Source organism: Homo sapiens, chromosome 7 (genome assembly GCF_000001405.40).
Source record: "Homo sapiens chromosome 7, GRCh38.p14 Primary Assembly".
NCBI classification, from domain to species: Eukaryota; Metazoa; Chordata; class Mammalia; order Primates; family Hominidae; genus Homo; species Homo sapiens.
Genome location: NC_000007.14, coordinates 129,335,943 through 129,362,584, shown reverse-complemented (window position 1 = coordinate 129,362,584; position 26,642 = coordinate 129,335,943). Strand labels below are relative to the sequence as shown.

Genomic DNA, 26,642 nt, shown 5'->3' with positions numbered 1-26,642 from the left:
AACTATTCCTTAGTCACCTAAGTTTCAGCTTATTATGGAGGCTAAAGTTCCTAACCACCTGAGTTCAAAGCTCAATGTGGTCAAGTATGAGACTGGCTGGAATTGCTGGACCTTAAATCTCCTTTACTCCTTCAAACTCAAAATGCCAGTGCTATCACAGACACCGGCATTGTTGAGCCCTTCTCCCTATCTCACAACCTAAATGATGTTAGGTATCTTACTTATCAGTTCCTCAGTAATCTAAAATTCATACCTCACAGGTATTTTTTGGACTCAACATGGAAGCATCATCATTACAGGTAAAGACTATAGGCTTTTAAAGTTGAATAGACTTGGGTTTGAAGGCCAGTTTCATCACTTACTAGCTGTGTATCCTCAGGCTACACAACCTTTTTGAACCTTTGTTTCTTTGTCTGTAAATCAGGATAACAGTATCTTCTACACATTGGTTTTATAAAGATTAAATAACTAATACATATAAAACACTAAGCACCAGGAAGCTATTTTGTCCAAAACTAGATAGAGCAGAGTAGTACTCAACTGCCTGGTTTGAATCTCGCTTCTTACCAACAGCATAACCTTAGGCAAATTACTTATCCTTTTTGTGCCTCAGTTTTCTCATCTGTAAAATAGGGCTATTAAGAATATCTATCCTATAGGATTGCTGGGATAATCAAATAAATTAATATGAACAAAGCACTTAGCACCTGGAACTTATTAGTGCTATTTAAAATTTACTATTATTCAGCCTGAGCAACATAGCAAAACCCCATCTCTTAAAAAAAAAAAAAATTAGCCAGACATAGTGGTGTGCGCCTACAGTCCTGGCTACTGGGGAGGCTGAGATGGGAGGATAGAGCCCAAGAGTTTGAAGTTACAATGATCTATGATCATGCCACTGCACTCTGTCTGGGAGATAGAACAAGACTGGGTGTCCAAAAATAAACACACACACATACATAAAATAACTATTATTGTTAATAATTACAGCATGTACATCCTTCTCTCTAGCATACCCAAATCCATTTTCTCTTCTTATACATGAAGAATTCATTCATTTAATCAAATCACAAATATTTACTGGGTGCCTACCATGTGCCAAGTACCACAGAAAAATGATCTTTATCTTCGTGGTGCTTACAGTACAAGGAGAGAGGCAATTAAATAAGTATATAAAAGTGTGAGAAATGATAATATAAGTACATGGGAGTATATGGCAAGGGCACCAATTATGTGTATTGGGGCCGTGGCAAGAGAGAAGCTCCATTTAAGCAGAAAGGTAAAGGATAAGCGGGGAGTTACCTGGTGTGTGTTGGAGGGGAATTGAGAAGAGTATTCCAAATAGAGGGAAGAACATGTACTCCGTAATATCTCTTGCAATCTGTCCTATCTTCCTCACACCAGCTGTATAAAGCCTGACCATCATCATTATCTGTCTAAATCGGTGCTTTTCAAACTTGAATGTGCATATAAATCATGTGAAGATCTTGTTAAAATAAAATGCCCATTCTGATTTAGAAAGTCTGGAATAGGTCCCAAAATTCTACATTTTGAATAGCTCTGAGATGATGACAATATGGCTGGGACAACACTTTGAAAAGTAAAAGTTTACCTAGATAATTCCATTCATGTAACAGCCTACTTCAATTCATTAAATTCATTTATACATGCCATATCACTTCCTTGTTTATAACACCCCAGTTACTCCTCACTATCCTCAAAATAAAATTGAAACTCCTTAGCATGATGACATATAAGACCTTTCATGACTTGGTCTCTGCCTATCTCTGGAGCCTTGGTGCTCTACATTCCCTTACCTTCCCACTCTGAATGAAAGCACACATAGGCATATGCATGCACACACATACACACACACACACGTCTTTCAAAATTTATAGATTAGCTGTAATTTCCTTCAGTAGACATTTCCAGTTCCTGGTCTAGGTTAAGAATCAATTACACGAATTACTGAGTAATCCCCCAGACTGATCTCTATCACAGTGCATGTCAGCATTGATACTATAATTGATCATTTGTCTCTTTCCACACTGGTACTGCAAGCAATCTGAGAACAGAAGTTATATGTCCTATTTTTGTATTCCAAGTGCCCAGCACATAGTAAACAACCCATGAATATGTGCTAGATGAATATATGATTTAAAGAATAGTGGCCGGGCGTGGTGGCTCACGCCTGTAATCCCAGCACCTTGGGAGGCTGAGGCAGGCAGATCACCTGAGGTCGGGAGTTCGAGACCAGCCTGACCAAAATGAAGAAACTCCGTCTCTACTAAAAATACAAAATTAGCCGAGCGTGGTGGTACATGCCTGTAATCCCAGCTACTTGGGAAGGCTGAGGCAGGAGAATCACTTGAACCCAGGAGGCAGAGGTTGCGGTGAGCCAAGATCATGCCATTGCACTCCAGCCTGGGCAACAAGAGCAAAACTCCGTCTCAAAAAAAAAAAAATTAAAATTAAAAAAAAATAGCTAGCTAGCTCAGGGCAAAGCCTAAAATGAATTAAATATAGAACAGGTAGCTGAAGAGTAAAAGGAAGGAAAAGAGAACAGGGTATGAGTAAAAATTAACAAAACTATTATAAATAGAAACATCACTATAACAAAATTATGCTTAGTATAAACTAAATGTACCTCCTTGCCACTGACTAATCCAGTGTTTCTCAAATAAACAATTAAGTAATACAAAGATTACAGTATTCTAAAGCAGTCACTAAGCTACCTTCTCTACTCCCTAAGACCTGTAGAATCCAGGAGTGGAGTATGGACTTAAATTCTCAATTTCCCTGACCCGGCTAATTAGAGCTCCACTTAGGTCAGGGTTCAGTTTGCTGCATAGTTAGCACCTCTAGCTAAAGCTGTTCTCAAAGAAAAGTCAAGCTTAAACTTGAAAACTTGTTCTTAAACTTCAAAACAACAAGAATAAGAGTGGGAAGGAATTTGCATTTAGGGCCCTCAGTTTTATCACTGAGCTGGAGGTTGGGGGTTAAATAATGAAACATAATGCCATTAAATGAATGTAGAATGTGTGCTTCTCGCTATATTCTTTTTTAAAATAAACTTTTTATAGAAGCATAACTTAGTTACAAAAGTACACAAATAACAAAGCTACAGCTTGATAAAATTTCAAAAGTTAACACACCTATGCAACCACTACACAGATAAGAAACTAGAACATTCCCAGTACCCTAGAGCCTTCTCATAGGTCGCCTATCAGTTGTTACCCTCACTCCTCCCCAAAGGTAATCTCTGTCCTGACTCTTGTCACCACTGATCAGTTCTGCCTATTTTTGAACCTGATATAAACATCATAAAATATTTAAGGTGTCTTTTTTTCTTTTTAATGTATTTTTAAGAATTGTCCAAGTTTGTTGCATTTACTAGAAGTTTTATTTATATTGTGGGAAAGTATCCCATTGCATGAACAGCCACAATTTACTGAATCCACTTTTTCTGTTGATGGGCTTTTTGGTTGTTTTCAGCTTGGGGACTATAAAAAAATAATGTTGCTGTGAACATTCTTGTATGTCTTTCGGTACCCATATGAAAATATTTCTACGGATATATATCTAGGAGGGGAACTGCTAGGTTATGGAGTATGCATATGTTCAGCTAGATAATGTCAAACAATTTTCCAAAAATACTTGTTCTAGTTTATATTCCTACCAGCAAGATCTCAGTATTCCAGTTGCTTCAGATCCTTGGCCTCTGTCATTTTAGCCTTTCTAGATAATGGTGTCACACTGTGGTTTTCATCTATATCTTGCCACCACCACTACCATTACCAACACAACCACTTAAAAAAAAATTGTGGTAAATGTACATAAGAGTTACCACTTTAACCATTTTTAAGTATACAGTTCAGTGGCATTAAGTACATTCACATTGTGCAACCATCACCACCATCCATCTCCAAAACTTTTTCATTATCTCAAACTGCAACTCTATACCCATTAAACAACAATTCCTCATTCTCCCTTCCCTCCAGCCCCTGGTAACCAAGGCTCTGCTTTCTGTCTCTGAATTTGACTACATTGGGTAACTCATATAGGTGGAATCATACAATCTATTTGTCCTTTTGTGACTGACATTTCACTTAGCATAATGTTCTCAAGGATCCTCCATATTGTAGCATATGGCAGAATTTCATTCCTTTTTGTTTTTTTTTTTGTGTGTGTGTGAGACGGAGTCTCGCTCTGTCTCCCAGGCTGGAGTGCAGTGGCGCGATCTCTGCTCACAGGAAGCCCCGCCTCCCGGGTTCACGCCATTCTCCTGCCTCAGCCTCCCGAGTAGCTGGGACTACAGGCGCCCGCCACCACGCCCGGCTAATTTTTGTATGTTTAGTAGAGACGGGGTTTCATCGTGTTAGCCAGGATGGTCTCAATCTCCTGACCTCGTGATCCGCCCACCTCGGCCTCCCAAAGTGCTGGGATTACAGGGGTGAGCCACCGCCCCTGGCCTTTCTTTTTTAAAGCTGAATAATATTCCATTTTATGTCTATGCCACATTTTGTTTATCCATTCATCTGTCGATAGGCATTTGTGTTGTTTCCAGCTTTTGGCTACTGTGAACAGTGCTGGTATCAACAGTGATGTGCAAATATCTATTTGAGGCCCCACTTTCTTTTTTTTTTTTTTTGAGATGGAGTCTCGCCCTGTCACCCAGGCTGGAGTGCAGTGGCCTGATCTCAGCTCACTGCAAGCTCCACCTCCTGGATTCACGCTATTCTCCTGCCTCAGCCTCCCAAGTAGCTGGGACTACAGGCGCCCGCCACCACGCCCAGCTAATTTTTTGTATTTTTAGTAGAGATGCGGTTTCATCGTGTTAGCCAGCATGGTCTCGATCTCCTGACCTCGTGATCCACCCACCTCGGCGTCCCAAAGTGTTGGGATTACAGGCGTGAGCCACTGCGCCCGGCCCACCAAGCACATTTTTATATGCTTATTGGCTATTTGGACATCATCTTATGTGAAGAGTCTTTCAAGTCTTTTGCCTGTTTTTCTATTGGGTTGTCAGTCTTTACTGATTTGTATGAGTTATTTATACATTCTGATTTTGAGTTCTTTGCAGTTATAAATCTTGCAAACAACTTCTCTCCCTCTGTGGCTTGCTTTCCCACTCTTATTAATAAAAAACATTTTCTTTTGAAATAATTTTAGACTTAGAAACAACTTGCAAAAATAGTACAGAGTTTCCATATGTACTTCACCTAGCATCCTCTAAGGTTAACTTCTTGTAAAATCACAGCAATTATCAAAACTAAGAAATTCACATTGGTGCAATACTATTACCTAATAATACTATTAACTATTAACTAAACTGCAGGCTTTAGTTGGATTTCACCAGTTTTTCCACTAATACCCCTTTTCAGTTCCAGTATCCCATCCAGGATCCCACATCGCTTTTGGTTGTCCTCCTTGGTATCCTCCAATCCGTGATAGCTTCTCAGTCTTTCCTTGTCTTTCATGACTGTGAAAATGTAACTGACTGAATCCCGAAATAACACTATACGTTGATTTGATTAAAAAACTAGCAAACCTATGTTTGTTATCTATTCATCTCTTTTGATTTTTAGTAGAATGTAGGTACCAGCCTTTATATATTAAAAGACAATAATTTTAAAAATCAGTTAATTCAATTCCTTATTTTAAGGATAAAGAAGCCAAGACCTAGAGAAACTAAATACCTTGCCAAGAGTCTTACAGTACTCCTTTTCCCCATGGATTTTATGTGGAAGGTGACACTTTTCTTCTCTGTGACTTTTGACAAACTTTTGGAGTATCTTCAAGGCCTTAAGTAAATCAGAGACCCTCCCTTCTTAATCAACATGAACTAAGGATCTCTGTTTCCATTAGGAGATCAACAGGGCCTACACAGTTCCTAAATTGCTGGTCTGTTTTCTAATTTTTCTGGAATGAGGATACATTGCTCTTATATTGAGAAGAAAAAAAGAAATGTGTGGTAGACAAAATAATGCCCCTCATCAAAGATGCCTATGTTCTAATACTTCTTTCCTTTGTAATGGAAGGGAAAAAAGGAATAGACACAGGCAGCTTTATAGATTTGGTTATAAGATGAAGGAATTAACATCTAGAGGTTCCCCTACACACACAATGAATTATGAGATGACATCAATTACAGGGGATAGGGTGGAAAGGCTGTAGGAGAATTGAGGAACATGAAGAGACAGTGGTTTATAGTAATTTAAAAATAGACAACTAGCAGCCACTGAAAGTTTCTAAGTAGGGCAGTAATATGTCTGCAGAATGTGATAAAAATATGCTTAAGGAAGATGGTTTATTACTGTGTAACTCTTACATTCAAGGGAAAATGTGGCTGAAAGAAATGAGAGCAACTTTGAGGTCAACTTTGAAAATGGTTAAAGTCTGGATTTCCAGATTATCACTATATTAATGAAAAAGAAGGAACAAATTTGAGAAATCATATAAAGGAAGAATTAGCAGGATCTAGACAAAGGTTTGAATGCCGAGTTGAAGGAGAGAAAAGTTCCTATAATATATATGTGAGTAGCCATTTTCAACATAACACATTCAAATATGTATCCAGCAATTTATATCCTTACCTTTTTTACATTTGTGATAATAACCACTATGATTATTTCTCTCTACCTGGTACTTTTCTGCCAAAAAGTTCTGACTGCTTTCCAAAATGCTTTCTTTACCTTTTAACCTTTCCCCATTGAAGTCAAATAGGGAATATTCCAATTAGTTCCAAAGCAAATCAATCAAACATAACCATAATTAGCAAGCAGATCTTTTTACATCCAAGGGTAAAATACTGTCTACTTAAGAAGCAAAAATTGTCCTAGAATACAAACCTTAAGGGAGACCTACAGAGTGAATTTTCCCTTATCCTCCAAATAACAACTCATTCTCTAGCAGCTAATTTCTGGAAGTTGTGTTGATGAATGAGCTAATGTCTGTGAGATACTTTAAGGTCCTCCAAAATAAATATATAAAATACATTGATTCTTATTATTTGAGGTAGTTACATTCTATAAAGTTGCCATGAACACTAAATTTGCCAACAGTGAACCACTGCTCCTAGGAAAAATACACGGTTAGGTGCATGTGATTCTCAGCATTTGTGTCAATACATAATCTTGTTTTATATGTATTTCTGTTTAAAGACATCTTATTTAATGTATTTTGGTACATTATCATTGAACCCAGAGATAACAGCACTATAACTCATGTCTGAACTAAGCTGATCTAACACACATTTTCTCAGTAACACACATCACAGCCTTTTTGAGCTTAAGAACACTAGACAACACTTTACCATGACACCTGGGGACAATTTTACACAGTGCAATCACTAAAACAAAGCACAAAAATTCAAAAATATATGGCACTAAACAGATTATGAACAGGACACGTGTTTACAGTATGAGGGATGAAACAGGAAGGCAGACCATTGTCATGTTTGACCTCAGCTCTGTAGGTCTTCTTGAAGGTTTGTATTCCAGGACAATTTTTGCTTCTTAATGCATGTCAGGTGACACAAATTTTTCACCATTCTATGCATGTCTATGATCCCAAAAGGATCGGGGGTATTCATTTGGGGTTACAAATAAATTTTACTGACTAGGCAAATTTGCAAATATGGAATCTGAAAATAATGAGGACTGACTGTGCTGCTGTGTTCACTCGCTCTGGATGACTCCAAGGCAAATTTCCTCTAATTTTAAAGGTCATGAGCCAATTATTTCCTACGGGAGCTATAAATCCCTTCTGTGAGGTCCATAAATCACTTCAACTTTGCTTCTAAGTGCAGTTCTCTACAAGGTAAAGATGCTGTAGTCAAAATCTTCTGCCAAGTCTAGCAGTGACAGAGAAAGTGGAAGGAAGTTCAATCTATCTTCTTAATGCAATGCTGACATTGTAGTGTTAACCAGAGTCTATGTTCGGTTGCAAGAGCAAGTCTTACTCAATGTCATCCACAGTGAAGACTTGCAAGGAACCATACATAGGCAGACTACCATTACCAAATGGTCATGCCTACGCCTGGACTGTTCTGCTGCTGAAAACAACCCAGATACACAGGTCAATACAACCTAGTAATCCTGTTACATTTCCTTACTCAGCCCTTTCTTCTTGTCTCCATACCAGCTGTCATAATGTTCTATACTTTCTCAAATGTCTGGCTATAACATCCCTTACTCTCAGTATATTACTTCTACTCTTATTTTACAGAAAAAACTAAAATCATTAAATGGAAACAATTTCTTTTCCAACTTCTCAATACTCAAACCTATAAACTTCCCCACATCCATCTTCTCCTATCTCCCTCCTGTTTTAATGGAAGATCCTCTCTTCCCATCAAAATCTATCCTTCCACCAGTGCTCTGGATCAAATTCTCTCTCACCTTCTTGGGGACTGATTGCCTTCAATGCCAAACTCCTTGGCTTTCTAAACTTATTACAGTATATCCACAACTCTTCACCTTCCATTCAGTCCTCAATCTATTATGGTCTGTCTTGTCTTGCCAATCCACTGAAATTATTCATGCCATGGTTACTATGTCCTTATTGCTACGCCTATTGGATACTTCTCAGCTTACTTTACTTCTCAGGATTTTGACACAGTTATTAATATTTCTTCCTTGAAAGACTCTCTTCCTTTGGCTTTTCTGATATTATACTCATATTTCCTTTGATCTCCAAAATATCTTCATTCTCAGTTTCCTTTGGGCTTCTCTTTTTGGTCCCTCAAATGTGGGAATTCTTGAAGATTCTATTCTAGTCTCTGTGTCCTCTTCAGTCAAATCTTCCTCTTACCTGTATCCATGGCTTCATTTACTATTAACATACAGGTAATTTCCAAAACTCTGTATCTATTAATAACATCTCCCTCTGAGCTTAAGTTCCAGACAGTGGCCTACTAGATGGCGTCACTGTATGATATTCCTATAGGCACCTCCATCTTAACACATCTAAAATTATTTGCTTATTTTTATCTAATAAGGGAGACGGATAAAAAATTAAGTAAATAGATAGATGAAATAATTAAATTTATGCTGTTATACAGGAAATGACCAAGAGGCTAAATAAGGTATAAAAGGAAGAAACTACCTTAGATAGAATAATCAAGAAAGGCAGTTTTAAGGTGATAACATTTGAACTAGGACCAGAGGGATGAGAGAAAGCTTGCTATATGAAAGAAAGAAAATAGTAATTGCAAAACCCCTGATGTAAGAAAGAACTTGGCATGTTTAAGGAATAGAAAGATTACTTGTGTGGCTGGAATTTAGTGAATGAAAGGGAGAATGAGGTTGTAAAGAATGTAAAGAATGTAAAGAATGGCCGGGCATGGTGGCTCACCCCTGTAATCCCAGCACTTCGGGAGGCCGAGGCAGGTGGATCACCTAAGGTCAGGAGTTCGAGACCAGCCTGGCCAACACGGTGAAACCCCATCTCTACTAAAAGTATACAAAAATTAGCCAGGTGTGGTGGCAGCCATCTGTAATCCCAGCTACTCAGAAGGCTGAGGCAGGAGAATCGCTTGAACCCGGGAGGCAGAGGCTGCAGTGAGCCGAGAGACCACACCATTGCATTCCAGCCTGGGCAACAAGAGAGAAACTCTGCACCAAAAAAAAAAAAAAAAAAAAAAAGAATGAGGAGGTAAAGGCCTAAACATGAAAGGCCTTATAAGCTAAGGAATTTGAATTTTATTCTATGTATAATGGGCATTATTAAAGGATTTTAAGCAATGGAGTGACATGAAATAATTTCTATTTACATCTGCTGCTGTGTGGAAAATGGATTAGAGACAGGCAAGAAGGGAAGACCAATGAGATACCTGATGCAGGAGATCAAGTGCAAGATGATGGTAACCTGGAATAGGCTAATGGCAAAGGTGGAGAAAAGCAAGCAGATCTGAGGTTATCTTAACAGCAGAACTCAAAAGACTTGCTAACGGATTGGACGTAGGAGGTGAGGAAAAAGAAATAATGACTTCAATTCTAGTTTGAACAACTGGGTTGGAGGTGATTTACTAAGATGAGAAAAATTGGGGCAGGGTGAAAGAGAGAAAGTTTTGTGGGAGAAATAAAAAATTCCATTGTGGACATGTTAAATTTAGAATATGAAACATTTATGTGGACACAGTATATATATAGATAGGTAGAGTGAGAGTCTGGAGCTCAAATACGAGGTCTACACCGGGGACAGCTTGACTGGAAGCTGTCAAGCTCATGGTGGCGGGTTTGGGTTTTCCAAAATTCTAATTTCCATTTGAAAGCTTGAATTTTATCATTGACAACAAATACTGTCAGTTTCCTTGAGACAGGCTCACTTCGTTCATTTTCAAGAAAATATCTGCCAGATGCCCAAACCTGAATAACCATGGTCTCTCTGTAAAGTAAAAGAGATACATGATTAAAAAAAGGAGCCTAGTGCAGTTTGCAACTCAAACAATCAGGAATGCTTTCCCTCAAGACAACCATTATATTTCAGCATGCAGCCGAAGTACTTTATGTGTACTTCCCAGTTCATTAAAAAAAAAATTATACTCCAGGATTGATATTTAATAAAACTAATCATTTTAATGGCTTCATCAAAAACATTCTAAGTGAAACTGGAAGAAAGATGTTATCTGCAAGTACACACCAATGACAAATACAATAACTAATGGTTATTAATTACTTACCTATCATTGCTTATATACCATTAGTGCAAAATGTCAACACCATAGAAAAGGCAAACACCTTAGTATTATTATGAAAACAGCTCTGACCTCACAGACCTTGAAAAACAGTATCAGGGACTCCTGGGAGTCCATGGACCACATTTTGAGAACCACTGCTTTAAGAGGTGCTGCGAGACCACTGTGAGGTCTGGTGATTAACAAAAGCTTTGTGGAGAAAGAGGACATGAATGTTTTTTTACCTGCAAAGGGGTGCCTCAGAAGGTCTTCTCTTCAGAAACGTCTTCTAATAAATTTTGCAAGACCCAATCTTCCATAGCCTCTACCATTGCCAATGGCGATTTCCTTTTCACCTTTCCCTTTGATTCAGGGGCTTTTGAGGTCAAAAGCATTTTCATAATACTAAAATGTCCTTTGTCTTTTTCACTTTTCATTCTCTCTTGAGTGTAGAGTGGGGTTTTCCAGAGGCTGTATGTGTGATGACGTCATCAGGCTGAATAAATGGAATGTATGCTTGTATATTTTTGTGTTTTCTAAAGTTTTCCAAGGAGATTGGTTACAGTATAAATAAAAGTGTTTTTGGCTTATTATTTCTACTATGTTCCTGCTGGTATCTCCAGGTATACCTACTATAATCTCTGTAACTTCACTATCATCCAATAAGTTGTTATTTTTAAAATCCAAAAGTGTTCCTTATGCCTATGCGGAAACACCAAAAATAAGTATATATCTTTGACTTGTTTTAAAATAAAATTCAAAACTTTTTTCAACTTTCATAAATTTAAAATTATTTAAAACTGCTATTTTAGAATTTAATAATATTCTAGAATAAAATAAAATTTATGCTATTTCTAATACTTAAGGATGAATTGTTTGCTTTTAAAAAAGAAATTAGGCCGGGGCCGGGCGCGGTGGCTCACGCCTGTAATCCCAGCACTTTGGGAGGCCGAGGAGGGTGGATCACCTGAGGTCAGAAGTTCAAGACCAGCCTGGTCAACATGGTGAAACCCTGTCTCTACTAAATATACAAAAATTAGCGGGGCATCATGGCGGGAGCCTCTAATCCCAGCTACTCAGGAAGCTGAGGCAGGAGAAGCACTTGAACCTGGGATACAGAGATTGCAGTGAGCTGAGAGCCTGAGTAACAGAGCAAAACTCCATCCCTAAAAGATAAAAAAAAAAAAAAAAAGAAAGAAAGAAAGAAAAAGAAAATGAAGGAGGCTGGGTGCAATGGCTCACACCTGTAATCCCAGCACTTTGGAAGGCCGAGGCAGGAGGATCACAAGGTCAGGAGTTCGAGACCAGCCTGGCCAACATAGTGAAACCCTGTCTCTACTAAAAATACAAAAATTAGTCAGGTATGGTGGCACAATGCACCTGTAGTCCCAGCCACTTGAGAGGCTGAGGTGAAAGAATCCCTTGAACCCGGGAGGCAGAGGTTGCAGTAAGCTGAGACCACGCCATTGCACTCCAGCCCATGTGACAAAAGTGAGACTCCATCTCCAAAAAAAAAAAAAAAGACTACATTTATTGAATGCTTTCTACATTCCAAATACTATGTTGCTTTGGCATGTATTATCTCATTTAATCCTTATAATGCTATACAGTAGGTGCTTTTATTATCACCATTTCACAACTGAGGAAACAAGTATGGACAGGATAAGTGACTGACCCAAGATCAGAGCTCATAAGACACAGAGCTAAAACCTGAATCCAGGTACCTCTGCATGCTTTATCTGAAATGCCCTTATCTTCACATGCTTGTTGAATGGATTAACCCTGAACTGCCTTGTAAGTCAAGAATCCCATCTTCTATAAAGCCTTTTGAAGCAATAGGCAAAAATGACCACAGTATAAATTTGGGACAAATGTTTCTGAGTAATTGAGTTGTACAATAATATGAATAACTAAATGTACATCTGAGTTAAAGTATGCAGATTGGTTTTTCATAAATAAGAACTATGATCTGGACTTCAATCAAGTAACAGATAATGATCAATATTGATAGAGGCATTTTTTATTAGTGTAGAACTACAACTCACTGGTTCTACTATTCTCCCCTTTTCCCAAAACAAAGCAGAGAAAAGACCTTGAGATGGGAGAGGTTTTACAGAGATGTCAACAGGACTACCAGGGCATCTTACATAGCCCTATCTCTTTAGTAAGGTAGCTTTATTGCTAATGTGAAAATAAACCATGGCTGTTCTATATGGAATCAGGTTGGCATACGCTTTTTTTTTTTTTTTTTTTTTGAAACAGAGTCTTGCATTGTTGCCCAGGCTGGAATGCAATGATGCCATCTCAGCTCACTACAACCTCCGCTTCCCGGGTTCAAGCAATTCTCCTGCCTCACTCAGCCTCCTGAGTAGCTGGGATTACAGGCATGTGCCACCACGCCTGGCTAATTTTTGTGGGTTTTTTTTTTTTTTTTTTTTGGTAGAGATGGGGTTTCACCATGTTGGCCAGGCTAGTCTCGAACTGACCTCAGGTGATTCTCTCGCCTCAGCCTTCCCAAGTGCTGGGATTACAGACATAAGCCACCATGCCCGGCCTGACATAAGTTCTTATATTTGTATATACAAACCTCCAATTTTATCCCTCAGTCAAGATTTAGGTCTCTACCTAAAGATTATTCTTAGCATAAGGGTTTTTCTTGGTTTATGACAATATTTCTAATTTTTAAAGCCCATACAGAGTAAACCTAGATAGAATCAAAACATTTTCAAGATGAAGGGAACCTTTGAATTTGTCCAGATCAATCACTTCTTTTTACAGTTAAGAAGTTGAGACCTAGAAAGTTTAAATTACTTGCCTAGACATGATATATTTAGAAAAGATAAAAGTTGTGAGGAATAAAAGTCAGCCAGAGTCTCTTCCTAGCTGTAAAGAGAAAACGATCTGACAGCAGAGTATTTTCTGGTGGAAAGAAACATAAAATAGCAAAACAGCTTAGGTTAGTGTGTTTTAACTTTTTAGGGCCATGGGACCTTCCCTTCCTTAGCAAATCTGATTAAAGTCACAGACCCTCTTCTCTCTAGAATCTGGAAAGTCTGGAATAAGCATATGCTTATACAAAATTTGCAATTTCAAAGGTTCATTGATCCATTCAGGTTAACAATCCTTGGCCTAGGTGAAGAAAATAAATCCTGTGAACCCTCCAAACAGCAATTATGGAACTGGAGGGGAAGGGACAAACAACGGCTAGTAAGTATCATATTTAGTAAGTATTATATACTTAACTACATGCCAGACAATGCATTAGATTATATACATGACTCATTTAATCCTCATGATAATCCCATAAGATAGGTTTCTAAAATCTGAATTTTATTTCTTCATTTGTTTTTAACTATGGCACAAAGTTCAAGAGATATAAAGAGTATATGGTGAAAAGTCTCTACCCTTTTCCTTCAGCACCTGAATATCCTCTCTAGAGAGAAATCTTACTTGTGCATTCTTGTAGAGACATTCTTTTCATAAAAGCATGTATGTGTGTGTGTGGGGGGGGGGTTATTGTTTCTTTTTCTACACAGATGGTAGCATATCATACATGTAGTTCTGCATCCAGTTTTCCCCCTCAACATTATCTTGAAGACTTTCACTATCCATATACAGAGTTGCCTCACTCTTTTTAACTTCTGCACATTGTTCTATTTTATAGATATACCAATATTTATTTAACCAGTTCCCTGCCAACGGACATTTAGATTGCTCCTACCTTGTGCTATTTGTTTATCACCATGATACAATGCTGTAGTGAATATCCTTCTACATGTGAATGTAATGCATTCTACATATGAATGTATAATGCTGTAGTGAATATTCTACATGTGTGAGAATATCTGTAGGATAAATTTCCAGATGTATCTTTAATCCAGACATATGCTATTTTGTATACGTGGGTATAACTGAAGATCCTTCTCCCATATTTTCAGAAATTGTTTTGGAATCCACAGGGGAAGGAGGTCCTGGTACCCAAAGTAGATTGGTACTGTAATATCTATCTGAAAAGCTTTCAAGTATGAAATGCCACTTGGGTGTAAAGTAAACAAGGTAAGGGATACAACTGAAAGGAGATTCAAATATTCCTTAGAATAGTGAAATAAACGCCTTTTAATTGTGGGGGTTGCATGTTTTCCCTCGTCATTTCTACCCCTGGCAATATAAACATCCAGACATTTGTATCTGTACATTCATTAAGCTATAATTCAGTCTTTCCAAGGACTGTAATTGTTCACTATCACTGTAAAGAAAAAAACCAAAAAAACAAAAAACAGAGGTGAGGAAGGGAAGCAAAACTTTCCCATTAAGCAGCAGTAAGCTAAGCCACAAGTGAACACATAAATACCTATACAGCTGAGGGTGATTCTGAATTTAGACCAGTAGTCCTTAGTTATTTGACCTGTCTCCATGCAGTTTCATATCACAGCTGTTCTGTTTTTAAAAATAGACGTTTAAAGAGCAGTTTTAGGTTCACAGCAAAATTGAGGAGAAAGAGAGTTCCCATATACCCTCTGCCCGTCAAAGACATAGTTTCCCCCACTGTCAACAACCTGCACCAGAGTGGTACATCTGTTACAGTTAATCAATAAGCCTACACTGACGCATCTTTATCACCCAAAGTCCACAGTTTACATTTGGGTTCCCTCTTGGTGTTATACATTCTATGAGTTTAGACAAATGTATAATGATGTGTACCCATCATTGTAGCATTATACAGGATGATTTCACGGCCCTAAAAATCTGTGCTTTGCCTATTTATCCTTCCCTTCTCCCAGCCCCTGGCAACCACTGATCGTTTCACTGTCTCCATATTTTTCCTCTACCAGAAGGTCACATATTTGGAATCATACAGTATGTAGCCTTTTCAGGTTGGCTTACTTCACTTAGTAATATGCATTTCAGCTTCTATCATATGTTTTCACAGCTTGATCACTAATTTCTTTTTAGCACTGAATAATATTCCATTGTCTGGATGTACCACAGTTTATTTACCCACTCACCTACTGAAGAACATCTTTAAAATTGCTTCCAAATTTCGGCAATTATAAATAAAGCTGCTATAAACACCTGTGAGCAGGTTTTTGTGTGGATATAAGTTTTCAATTCCTTTAGGTAAATACCAAGGAATGGAATTGCTGGATTGTATGGTAAGAATATGTTTAGTTTTCTAGGAAACTACCAAACTGTCTTTAAGTAGCTGTATAATATTGCATACCCACCAACGAATCAGTTCCTTTTGCTCCACATCCTCATTAGGTGTTGATAACTTGGTGTTATCAGTGTTCTGAATTTTGGCATTTTAATAGATGAGTAGTGGTATTTCAAATGATTTTAATTTGCACTTCCCTAATGACATATGATGTTGAGCATCTTTTTAGATGCTTATTTGACATCTATATATCTTCTTTGGTGAGTTTTCTATCCATGTCTTTTGCCCACTTTTTAATCAGGTTGTTTGTGTCCTTATTATTAAGAGCTCTTTTCATAGTTTGGATAACAGTCCTTTATCATATAGGTCTTATGCAAATATTTTCTCTCCGTCTGTGGTTTGTCTTCTCATTCTTTTGATACCACTGTTTTTAACAGTTGAAAAAACTGAGGCTCTGAGAAGTTTAACTACTCAAGGCACATAGTAGGAAACAGCAAAGACAGGACTTTAACTCTGCTCTTACCATCATTCCATGTTGTATTTCCTAGGATTTATTTGAAAAAGGAGACACAATACTGAAGGAAAAGGAACAAAACCAAATACCAACCACCACCACAACCACTCTGGTTGTAGAAAAAGGAAATTACACACCCTTACCTTCTCTTATCCCACAAATCCTCTCTGATAATCTTTTCTGTTACCATGTTTCAGTTATCATCTATATGCTGATAACTGCTAAATCTCTACTTAGACAGCCCAGATCTCTCAGATCTATATACTTAATTGCTCATTGGACATCTCCACTTATACATCCCACAGGTTCCTCAAACACAGCCTGTCCAAAACTGAACTCATCATCTTACCCCCCCAAACCTGCTCTTCCTCCTCTAGGATTACCTATGTCAATAATTGAGCCTCTATTTCGGAAACCTGGAAGTCACTCTGAGATCACTTCATCCTATCCTACCACTTCATTTGCAGAAATGGCCCCAGTATATAATTCTGTGTTCTCCAGCCAATGATCCTATCATTGTCTTCCTATTCATGAACTCTTTCCCAGTTTCATTTTCCTTCTTTTCTAGCCTAGATTTCCTGTCCATCTTGATAATGTGACTCTAGAAACACCTTCACTCAGTCATCAACGGTCTAGACTAAAGCAAGCCAACCACAACAACACCTTCACTCTCTTCATTATTTTTGCCAGGCAAAACCTAAATTCTGATGACATATACTAATTAATTCCATGTTTGGGCCCAAGCAGTTACATGTTGCAAGAGAAAAACCATGTGTGACTAAGCTGACAGGTTTCATATTAAAATCACCTTCCTAAACATCTAATGAGCATCGATAGTTCTTCAGTCATCTTACAAAGTTTCTTTAGTAGGCACATACTCCCCTATCCTCTCCCAAAAAGAATACTGTATGTTTGTCCCCTCAACTTCTTCACCTTCAGGTGGCAGACTTACTTTATATATAAAAAAGAAAATAAATGTAAGAAAACAGAAAAATGTCTGATGTAAACTCTCTCCCTTTCCAATCACCAGGCAAACCTCATATGCACAGCTTCCTTCTTACCCTCTCCCACTGAAGGCAGAATTTTTCTTTTCTTTTTTCTGTGGCCCAGGCTGGAGTGCAGTGGCATGATCTCGGCTCACTGTAACCTCTGCCTCCTGGGTTCAAGTGATTTTCCTGCCTCAACCTCCCGAGTAGCTGGGATTACAGGCACCTGTCACCATGCCTGGCTAATTTTCGTATTTTTAGTAGAGATGGGGTTTCACCATGTTAGCCAGGATAGTCTCGAACTCCTGACCTCAGGTGATCCACCCGCCTCGGCCTCCCAAAGTGCTGGGATTACAGGTGTGAGCCACCATGCCCAGCTGAAGGAAGGATTTCTATTTGAGCTACAGTCTGTTCCCTGTCAAGTTAGTAAGAACTCTTTTTTTTCCTCCCCGCTTCCTGCCCCTTTTAAGGACTCTTTCCGCATGACCTGGTAGCTTATTTAGCTCTCCCACCACTCACTCCTTTGTTCACTATACTCCATCAACAGTCTTCTTTTCCAACTTAGGGCCTTTATACATACTGCCACCTGCTTTGTTTCCTTCATAACACTTATAATTTTTGGTTACTTCAGTTTATTTTCTCTTTTGTTGCTGACTCATCTCACTACTATCACAACCCGAGGCAACCACTGATCTGTTCTGTTACTATAGATAGATTTGCCTTTTATGGAACGTCATACAAATCATATGGAATCATAAAATACTCTTTTATATCTAGCTTCTTTCATTTAATGTTTTTGAGATTCATCCATACTGTTATATGAGTAGTTCATTCTTTTTTACTGCTGAATAGCACATTACATGGGTGTACCATACTTTATTTATCCATTCATTTATTGATGGACATGTGGTGTTGTTTCCACTTTGGGGCCATTATGAATCAAACTGTCATGGACACTTGTGTATAGGTCTTCATGTGAACAATGGGCTTCATTTTCTTGGGTAAATGCATAGGTAAGGGTGAAATTGCTGGGTCACCTGGTAAGAATATATTAAATTTATAATAAACTGTTTCACACCAGCAATGCATGATCATTACAACTGTCCCACACCCTCATCAGTAGTAGCTATTGTCACTCTTTTTAATTTTAGCCATTCTAGCAGGTGTGCAGTATCTCACTGTGGTTTTAATTTGCACTTCTCTCGTGGTGTTGAGTATCTTATATGCTTATTAGCATTCATATAGTATGTACTGTGCTATGTCTGTTCAAATCATTCCTCCATTTAAGAAACTAGATTATCTTATTACTGAGTTTTAGATTCCTTTATATGAATTCTAAATACCAGTCATTTTTCTGTATATGTATTGTGAATATTTTCTCCCAGTCTGTGCTTGCCTTTTTATTTACTTACCTGTGTCTTTTGAATAGAAGTTTCTAATTTTGGAGAACTCTATCAAAACATTTTCTTTTAGAGTATTTTTTGTGTGCAAAGAAAGTTTTGCCTACCCCAAGGTCATGAAGATTTTCTCCTTTGTTTTTTTCTATAGTCTATGATCCATTTTGAGTTAACTTCTATACTTGGAATGAGATCAGAAACAAAGTTCACTTTGCCCCCAAACAGTATTTAGTTGTTCCAGCACCATTTGTTGGAAAGAAAAATTTTTCCCCACAGAATTATCTTGGCTTCTTTTTCAAAATCCAGTTCATTCTATAGGTAGAGGTCTATTTCTGGAACTTCCCATTGCTCTAAGCTCCCCCTCTCCCTTTCTTCTTAAGTATTAAGCACAAAATAGTCTTCGAAGTCATAATTGATAGCAGGGAAGGTGCCTTAATTGTCCATATATCGCTAACAAAGTGACATCAGCATGACAATTTAATTCCTATTATAATGCAGGACAAATAAGAAAACATATGAAAATTAATGCTAAGTTCATCATAAACAGACCACTAAAAACAAACAATATCCTAGTGCCCTCTAGTGGGAGGAAACTGTACGGATATGCCAAGCAAGAAAGATGAGCTTTTAATAAACACTACTCACAGGAATATTGAATACCAAGAAATGTGACTAATATTTCCATGCCTTCTCCTCATGCTTTTTAAGACAAAAAATTTTAAATAAAAAAGGAAAATGTTTTGCTATTTTAAGCAACTTTAATCCAATGTGAATGCAATGAAATAGAAAATTGGATAGACAAACAAAACAGGTATTTGGAATTTATATCCCCATAGTATACTTCCCTATATAAAGGAAATGGGGCCAGAGGCCAAAGGAAAAGAGAAAAGATTTCACATAATTAAAAGATGTAAATGAAATTGTTTCAAGATACATAGTATAAATACATTATCAAGATATGTATGTTAATATATACTTGTAACACATAACGTGTAATATTATATACATATATGCCAAATTTTTCTAGAATGAAGCACAAGATGATGTCAACAATGACTGCCTGTGGTGAACAGAGGTGAGTAGGGAGAAAGGAAAGATTTACATATCCCTTATTTTAAACATGTAAAATAAATGCTCTTACTTTAAAATAAGGTCTACCACTTTGAAACAGTCTAATGGTAATTTTATATGCTTATACATGAACTCCCAAAATAGGTGGCAAGTGAATAATACTGCGTTTAGAACAGTGTGTTTCAACAGTTGATTATAATTAACCCTTGTTAAGTCCCTCAAGGTACAAAGCTACATAGCCGCATTCTCTAACACACAGAAGGGAGATTACTACAAGTTCCCTCATCTTTTAATTGGAAGTTCTTGGTATATTCACCTACCTTTTGCTTCTTTATTCCTATTTTAAAGGAAAGGGTCTCTCTCTTCATTATTGTCTCCTTCAAACTACCTCCCTACCCATATATTTTTAAAATCTATTATTCTGGTCACTTAGGATCAAAACTGAGTCATGACTCTTACTCTCCTTCCACAAATGTTCTTTGTTTCTTCTGGATATTACCTTTGAGTTAATGGGGAGGAGGAGTCTAAGAAGACTTGGGTTTCTGGTGCTCTCCTACCAGCTGATAGGGTGAATGATGATACCAACAAGTAACAGGAATACTTCAACACTGGTGTCCCTTCCCAACTCCACCCCTGTACTTTTGCATATAATTTCCTCAGTTTAAAATGCCTGCTCTGTCTCCTTCTTATTAAACTCTTTCTATTTACTTTCTGTTCTCCTTCCCTTCTCTTAATGCCAAAGTACATGCTGGTTCCCACATAAAGCTTTACCTTTATAACCCTGGAGATAAACCATTCTTCTGAGTGGTTTAATGGTTGTAATTACTGCCTGTACCACTTAACAGACTTGTAGTCCATGCTCCTTTACACTGATATTCTTCTCTTTAAGCACTTGCTATTTTTTCCCAAGTGTTGGTAAATTCTCAAGATCGTGGACAGATTACACAGTTTGTTTTATTTCTACTATCTTGCCACAAATAGGTTTCATATGATAACCATGAGTGTGTTATTCCCACCCTCGAAATTCACAGGCATTCGACAAGAAAGCTTTGGGGACAATAGTCACTTTTACTGCTATCAATGACTTACACATACTCAGTCCTCCATTCCATCTTCATCTGCCTCCCACCTCCATCACCACCCTGCCAGCCACTGCCGCCGCCAGATCTCTTCATTCCTATACTTTCCCTTTCTTTCTCTGGTAAGTGGTACCAAAGAATTATATGCTATGCTTTTAGTTAATTCTAACGAAGGGGTTCAGAGTATGCTACCCTGGCATAAGAACTATTTCACACTGAAGGCAGTTGAGAAAAAGCAGACACAGAAGTTCTCAGCCTCCCTCCCCACATCCACCTTTCCTCTACCCTTGTGAAAGTGTCCCCCAACCACTTCCCTTACCAGGAAGGAGATAAAAAGCCTCATCACTGGAGAAAGGATGGCACTGAGAGTCAACACAAACAAACCTTGCTAACTAGCCTTTATCTACCTAGTTTCTCCATATATTTGTGTTCCCACACTTGCTACCCCTAGAAGCTCAATGTCCTTTTCCTTTGTCTTGTCACTTCTCTAAAAAATTTCTATTCTTTGCTAAGATGCTATGTAACCCCAAGTTCTAACTACCTCTTTGAGTTACTCATCACTGAGCTCTCCTTATGTATGTGCCATGCATAAACTTTGAAGAAAAGAAAAGAAAAACTTTGTTTTTCTCTTGTTAATTTGTCTTTTGTCAGTATAATTTGCAGCCCCAGCCAACTTTTGATCAAACCAGCATAACCTTGATTCCAAAACCAGACAAGGGCAGTACAACAAAGGAAAATTATATACTGATTTCAATCATGGACACAGATATATATACAAAATATGAGCTCATGAACAAAATAGCAAACTAACACAGCAATGTAAAAAAAGCATGATCATATAAGCTTATCCAAAGTATTCAAGAGTGATTAAACATTTAAAATACTACTTTGTAGAATTACCACCATAATGGATTAAAGGAGAAAATATCATATGATCTCAATAGATATAGAAAAAGCATTTGATAAAATTCAACAATTCATAATTTTTAAAAAACTCAAATGGGTAAAAGCAGTTCTTAGAAATTAAAAATAATGGAATTTAAAATTTCAACAGAAGAATTGGAAGAGGAAGTTAAAAACAATTTTATAAACAGTAGATAAAACGACAAAGGGGAGAAATTTTTTTTTTTTTTTTTTGAGACGGAGTCTCGCTCTGTCTCCCAGGCTGGAGTGCAGTGGCGCGATCTCGGCTCACTGCAAGTTCCGCCTCCCGAGTTCACGCCATTCTCCTGCCTCAGCCTCCGGAGTAGCTGGGACTATAGGCAACTGCCACCACGCCCGGCTAATTTTTTTGTATTTTTAGTAGAGACGGGGTTTCACCGTGTTAGCCAGGATGGTCTCGATGTCCTGACCTCGTGATCCGCCCGTCTTGGCCTCCCAAAGAGCTGGGATTACAGGCGTGAGCCACCGCGCCCGGCCTGAAAAACTATTTTTTTTAAACTGGCAGATCAGGACAGAAAGTCATAAAGAACAGAGGAAAAGGGGCCAGGCGCGGTGGCTCATGCCTGTAATCCCAGCAGTTTGGGAGGCCAAGGCGGGCGGATCACAAGGTCAGGAGATCGAGACCATCCTGGCTAACACGGTGAAACCCTGCCTCTACTAAAAAAAAATACAAAAAATAAGCCAAGCGTGGCGGAGTGCGCCTGTAGTCCCAGCTGCTAGGGAGGCTGAGGCAGAAGAATGGCGTGAACCCGGGAGGCGGAGCTTGCAGTGAGCCGAGATCACGTCACTGCACTCCAGCCTGGGCGACGGAGCGAGACTCCGTCTCAAAAAAAAAAAAAAAAAAAAGAGCAGAGGAAAAGGAAAAAGAGAGCAACAAGAGCAAAACTGGATAACAGTGTACTCCTTCAAAATTCTAAAAGAAAATCAATTAGTGGCCAGGCGAGGTGGCTCATGCCTGTAGTCCCACACTTTGGGAGGCTGAGGTGGGAAAATCACTTGAAGCCAGGATTTTGAGACCAGCTTGGGCAACAAAGCAAGACCTTATCTCTAAAAAAAAAAAATAATTAGCAAGGCATGGCAGAATGCACCTGTAATCCTAGCTACCAGAGAGGCTGAAGTGGGAGGATTGCTTGAGCCCAGTAGTTTGAGGCTGCGATGAGCCAGCCTGGGCAACAGTGAGAGATCCTGTCTCTAAAAATGAAAAGAAAAATGGCAAAAAATAGTCCCCAGAATGGTGTGAATTTTAATGGCTGCATTAAAGGCATGGAAACATAGATGGATACATAACTACTGAAAAATATAACAAAGATAGTTACCAGTCTTCTTCTATCACAAACACTGCAGTAACTTATATCTTTGTATATACTTTTCATATATGTTTGGTATATCAATAGGGTACATTTCTAAAAAGTGAAATAATTTGGTCAAAGACTACATACATTTTTAGGTTTGAGAGATATTAACTCTCAAACTGCCCTCCAAATTGACTGCACCAAGATTGCACTTCCACCATGAACGTATGAGTGTCTGTTTTTCTACACCTAGAACTGGTTCTTTAAAACAAACAAATAAGCAAACATAAGAGACAAGAACCTAAATGGCTAATGTGAAGTTAGAACCGAGGGAGAAGTTGAAGAATCAATGTGGCAACATCACTGAAATATAATAAGGGCACTGAGAATTAGATAACAAATCAATACCAACTTAGGAAACAGGATGCCTTTCCAAATAAAAGGAAAGGAGCAAGTTGAAAGTCTTAATAGCTTCTATTTTTCCATTAAAGTAGGAAGTGAGATCCGAACACAAAGGATGTGCAGAAATTTGAAAGAGACCCATCACTTAAAATAATCGTAAAGTGGACAGGGCCTATATGTGACACAAACTACATAAGACACTATTAAGAAATTAAGCTCTATTAAACTACATTAAAATCAAAAGACAAATGACAAATTGGGGGAAATATTCACAATTCATATTACAAAGGACCTTTTTCTTCAATATACAAAAAGCTCCAACAAATTGATTTTTTAAAAGACCAACAATCCAACAGGCAAGTACGCAGAGCATGTCACCAGTTTACATAGAAAGAGAAATAAATACAAATGGCCTTAAAGAGAAATGTAAATTGAAACTTCAATGACATACCACCTTTCATCCATCAGAACAGGAAAGATCCGAAAGTCTGATAACACAGTGCTAATGAAGTTGCAGGAAACAGCTACTCACATCCACTGCAGGTGAGAATATAAACTGGTTTCTATTCTCCATGAAAAGCCATTTAGTAATATCTATCAAAATTTATAAGGTAGGCCAGGCACAGCAGGTCACTCCTGTAATCCTAGTTCTTTGGGAGGCCAAGGCAGGAGGATCACTTGAGGCCAGGAGTTTGACACATGCCTGGGAAACAGCAAGACCTCCAGTCTCTACAGAAAAAAAAAATTTACAAATTAGCCAGGCGTGGTGGTACACACCTTTAGTCCTAGCTACTCAGAAGGCTGAGGCAGGAGGATTGCTTGAGCCAAGGAGTTCTAGGTTATAGTAAGCTGAACTCCAGCCTGAGTGACAGAGCAAGACCCTGTCTCTTAAAAAAAAAAAAGTACAATGCATACATCCTTGGAATCAGCAATTCCACCTCTAGCAATCTGTCCCACAGATATACTTCCCCATGTATGAAATAATGAAGATATTCATTAAAGCATTTTTGTTGTAAAGAAAAACTGGCCAGGCGCGGTGGCTCATACCTGTAATCCCAACACTTTGGGAGGCCAAGGCAGGTGGATCACCTGAGGTCGGGAGTTTGAGGCCAGCCTGACCAACATGGAGAAACCCCCGTCTCTACTAAAAATACAAAATTAGCCAGGCATGGTGGCGCATGCCTGTAATTCCAGCTACTTGGGAGGCTGAGGCAGAAGAATCGCTTGAACCCGGGAGGTGGAGGTTGCAGTGAGCCAGGATTGTGCCATTGCACTCCAGCCTGGGCAACAAGAGCAAAACTCCATCTCAAAGAAAAGAAAGACTGAAAATAATTTAAATCCTTATAGAAGACTGACTTAAATTATGGCATGGACGGGCACAGTGGTTCACACCTGTAATCCCAGCACTTTGGGAAGTTGAGGCAGGTGGATCACCTGAGGTCAAGAGTTCGAGACCAGCCTGGCCAACGTGATGAAACCCTGTCTCTGCTAAAATACAAAAATTAGCCAGGCGTGGTGGTGTGCACCTGTAATCCTAGCTACTCAGGAGCCTGAACTAGGAGAATTGTTTTAACCCGGCAGGTGGAGGTTGTACTGAGCTGAGATCACGTCACTGTACTCCAGCCTGGGAGAAGAGCGAGACTCCATCTCCAAAAAAATAAAAAATAAAAATAAATAAATAAATTACGGCCTATCTATACAATGGAATCCTCTATAGTTAAGACAGCAAGGCAGCTATATATGTTTTGATATAAACTATCTCCAAGATATATTTTAAGTGAAAAAAGCAAGGTACAGAATAGTGAATACAGTACGATAAAAGTAAGTTTGTATATGCATAGAATCTCTGGAAATACACTCAAAAAAATAGTAATAGTGATAGCCTTAGGGGAAAACTGGGCAAGTAGGGGAGAAGAGATGATAAAAAACTTATTTTTATTATCTATCCTTTTGAACATTTTGAATTTTGTTCATTTATTTACTAGCTATTCGAATATAAATAATTTCTTTACAAATATGTTAGCCAGCATGTAGTGGTTCACACTTGTAATCCCAACATTTTGGGAGGCCAAGGCAGAAGGATCACTTGAGTCCAGGAGTTCGAGACTAGCCTAGGCAACATGATGAGACACCCGTCTTTACAAAAAATTAAAAATTAGCCAGGCACGGTGGCTTGCGCTTGCAGTCCCAGCTACTCAGGAGGCTGAGGTGGGAGGATTGCTTGAGCTCAGGGGATTGCGGCTACAGTGAGCTGTGATCGTGCCACTGCACTCCAGCCTGGGTGACAGTGAGACCCTGTCTCAAAAAAAAAATTACGTTTTATTAATGTTTTACTATGTCTTGAATTAAACATCTCTCTATCCCAACTGCCACTGCCCCAGTTCTGGATCTCACTGCTCACCTGCACTGCTTGGGGAAGAAAAGAATTGGCGCTACTCTTTTTGCCTCCAGTCTTACCTATTTCTAATCAACTTCTATACTTCCTGCCTCAAGTGATTCCCAACTGTCTACAGAATAAGGTCCAAACTCCTGTGCATAATCTCCATACAAGAGAAAGGCAAGAAATTAATGTATGGGTTATTACTATCTGGATTAAGTTACCACTGAAAAATTTGTAACACTTATTCTGTGATCATAATTTTAAACACATTTCTTTTGCTTGGTTGTGCTTCAACCAAGCAAAAAGAAAGAATAAACTTCAGGCTGGGTGGGGTGGCTCAAGCCTGTAATCCCAGTACTTTGGGAGGCCGAGGCAGGTGGATCACTCGAGGTCAAGAGTTTGAGACCAGCCTGGCCAACATGGCGAAACCCTGTCTCTACCAAAAATACAAAAATTAGCCAGGCATGGTGGCATGCACCTGTAATCCCAGTTACTTGGGAGGCTGAGGCAGGAGAATCGTTTGAACCTGGGAGTAGAGGTTGCAGTGAGCCAAGATCATGCCACTGCACTCCAGCCTGGGTGACAGAGTGGGACTCCGTCAAAAAAAAAAAAAAAAAGGAAAGAAAAGAGAAGAGAAAAGAAGAGAAGAGAAAAGAAAAGAAAAGAAACTTCAGTACTTATGTGCTATTCTCAATAGAAGCCATCTACTCTATGAAGAGAAAATGTGGCAGTTTTAAACACGTGGC

At 38.5% G+C, this 26,642-nt stretch overlaps 1 protein-coding gene and 1 long non-coding RNA gene across 7 annotated transcripts in view, besides 1 other annotated feature; both read right to left on the bottom strand.

The window, feature by feature from the left end:
- The window catches only part of AHCYL2 (adenosylhomocysteinase like 2), a 205,182-nt gene that overhangs the window by 67,627 nt on the left and 110,913 nt on the right, over positions 1–26,642 (bottom strand). The window lies entirely within an intron of this gene.
- On the bottom strand, positions 10,108–21,808 carry LOC105375500 (uncharacterized). Its single transcript, XR_927962.3, has 2 exons — positions 10,924–21,808; positions 10,108–10,389 (listed from the first exon to the last, which is right to left on the bottom strand). It is a non-coding gene; the product is annotated as an uncharacterized LOC105375500 (long non-coding RNA).
- Positions 22,280–22,844: an enhancer, noted in NCBI's record as "H3K4me1 hESC enhancer chr7:128979582-128980146 (GRCh37/hg19 assembly coordinates)". NCBI's record gives its function as "activates a minimal SCP1, AML or CMV promoter by ChIP-STARR-seq in naive H9 embryonic stem cells {active_cell/tissue: H9 hESC(naive)}" and the evidence as "EXISTENCE:reporter gene assay evidence [ECO:0000049][PMID:30033119]".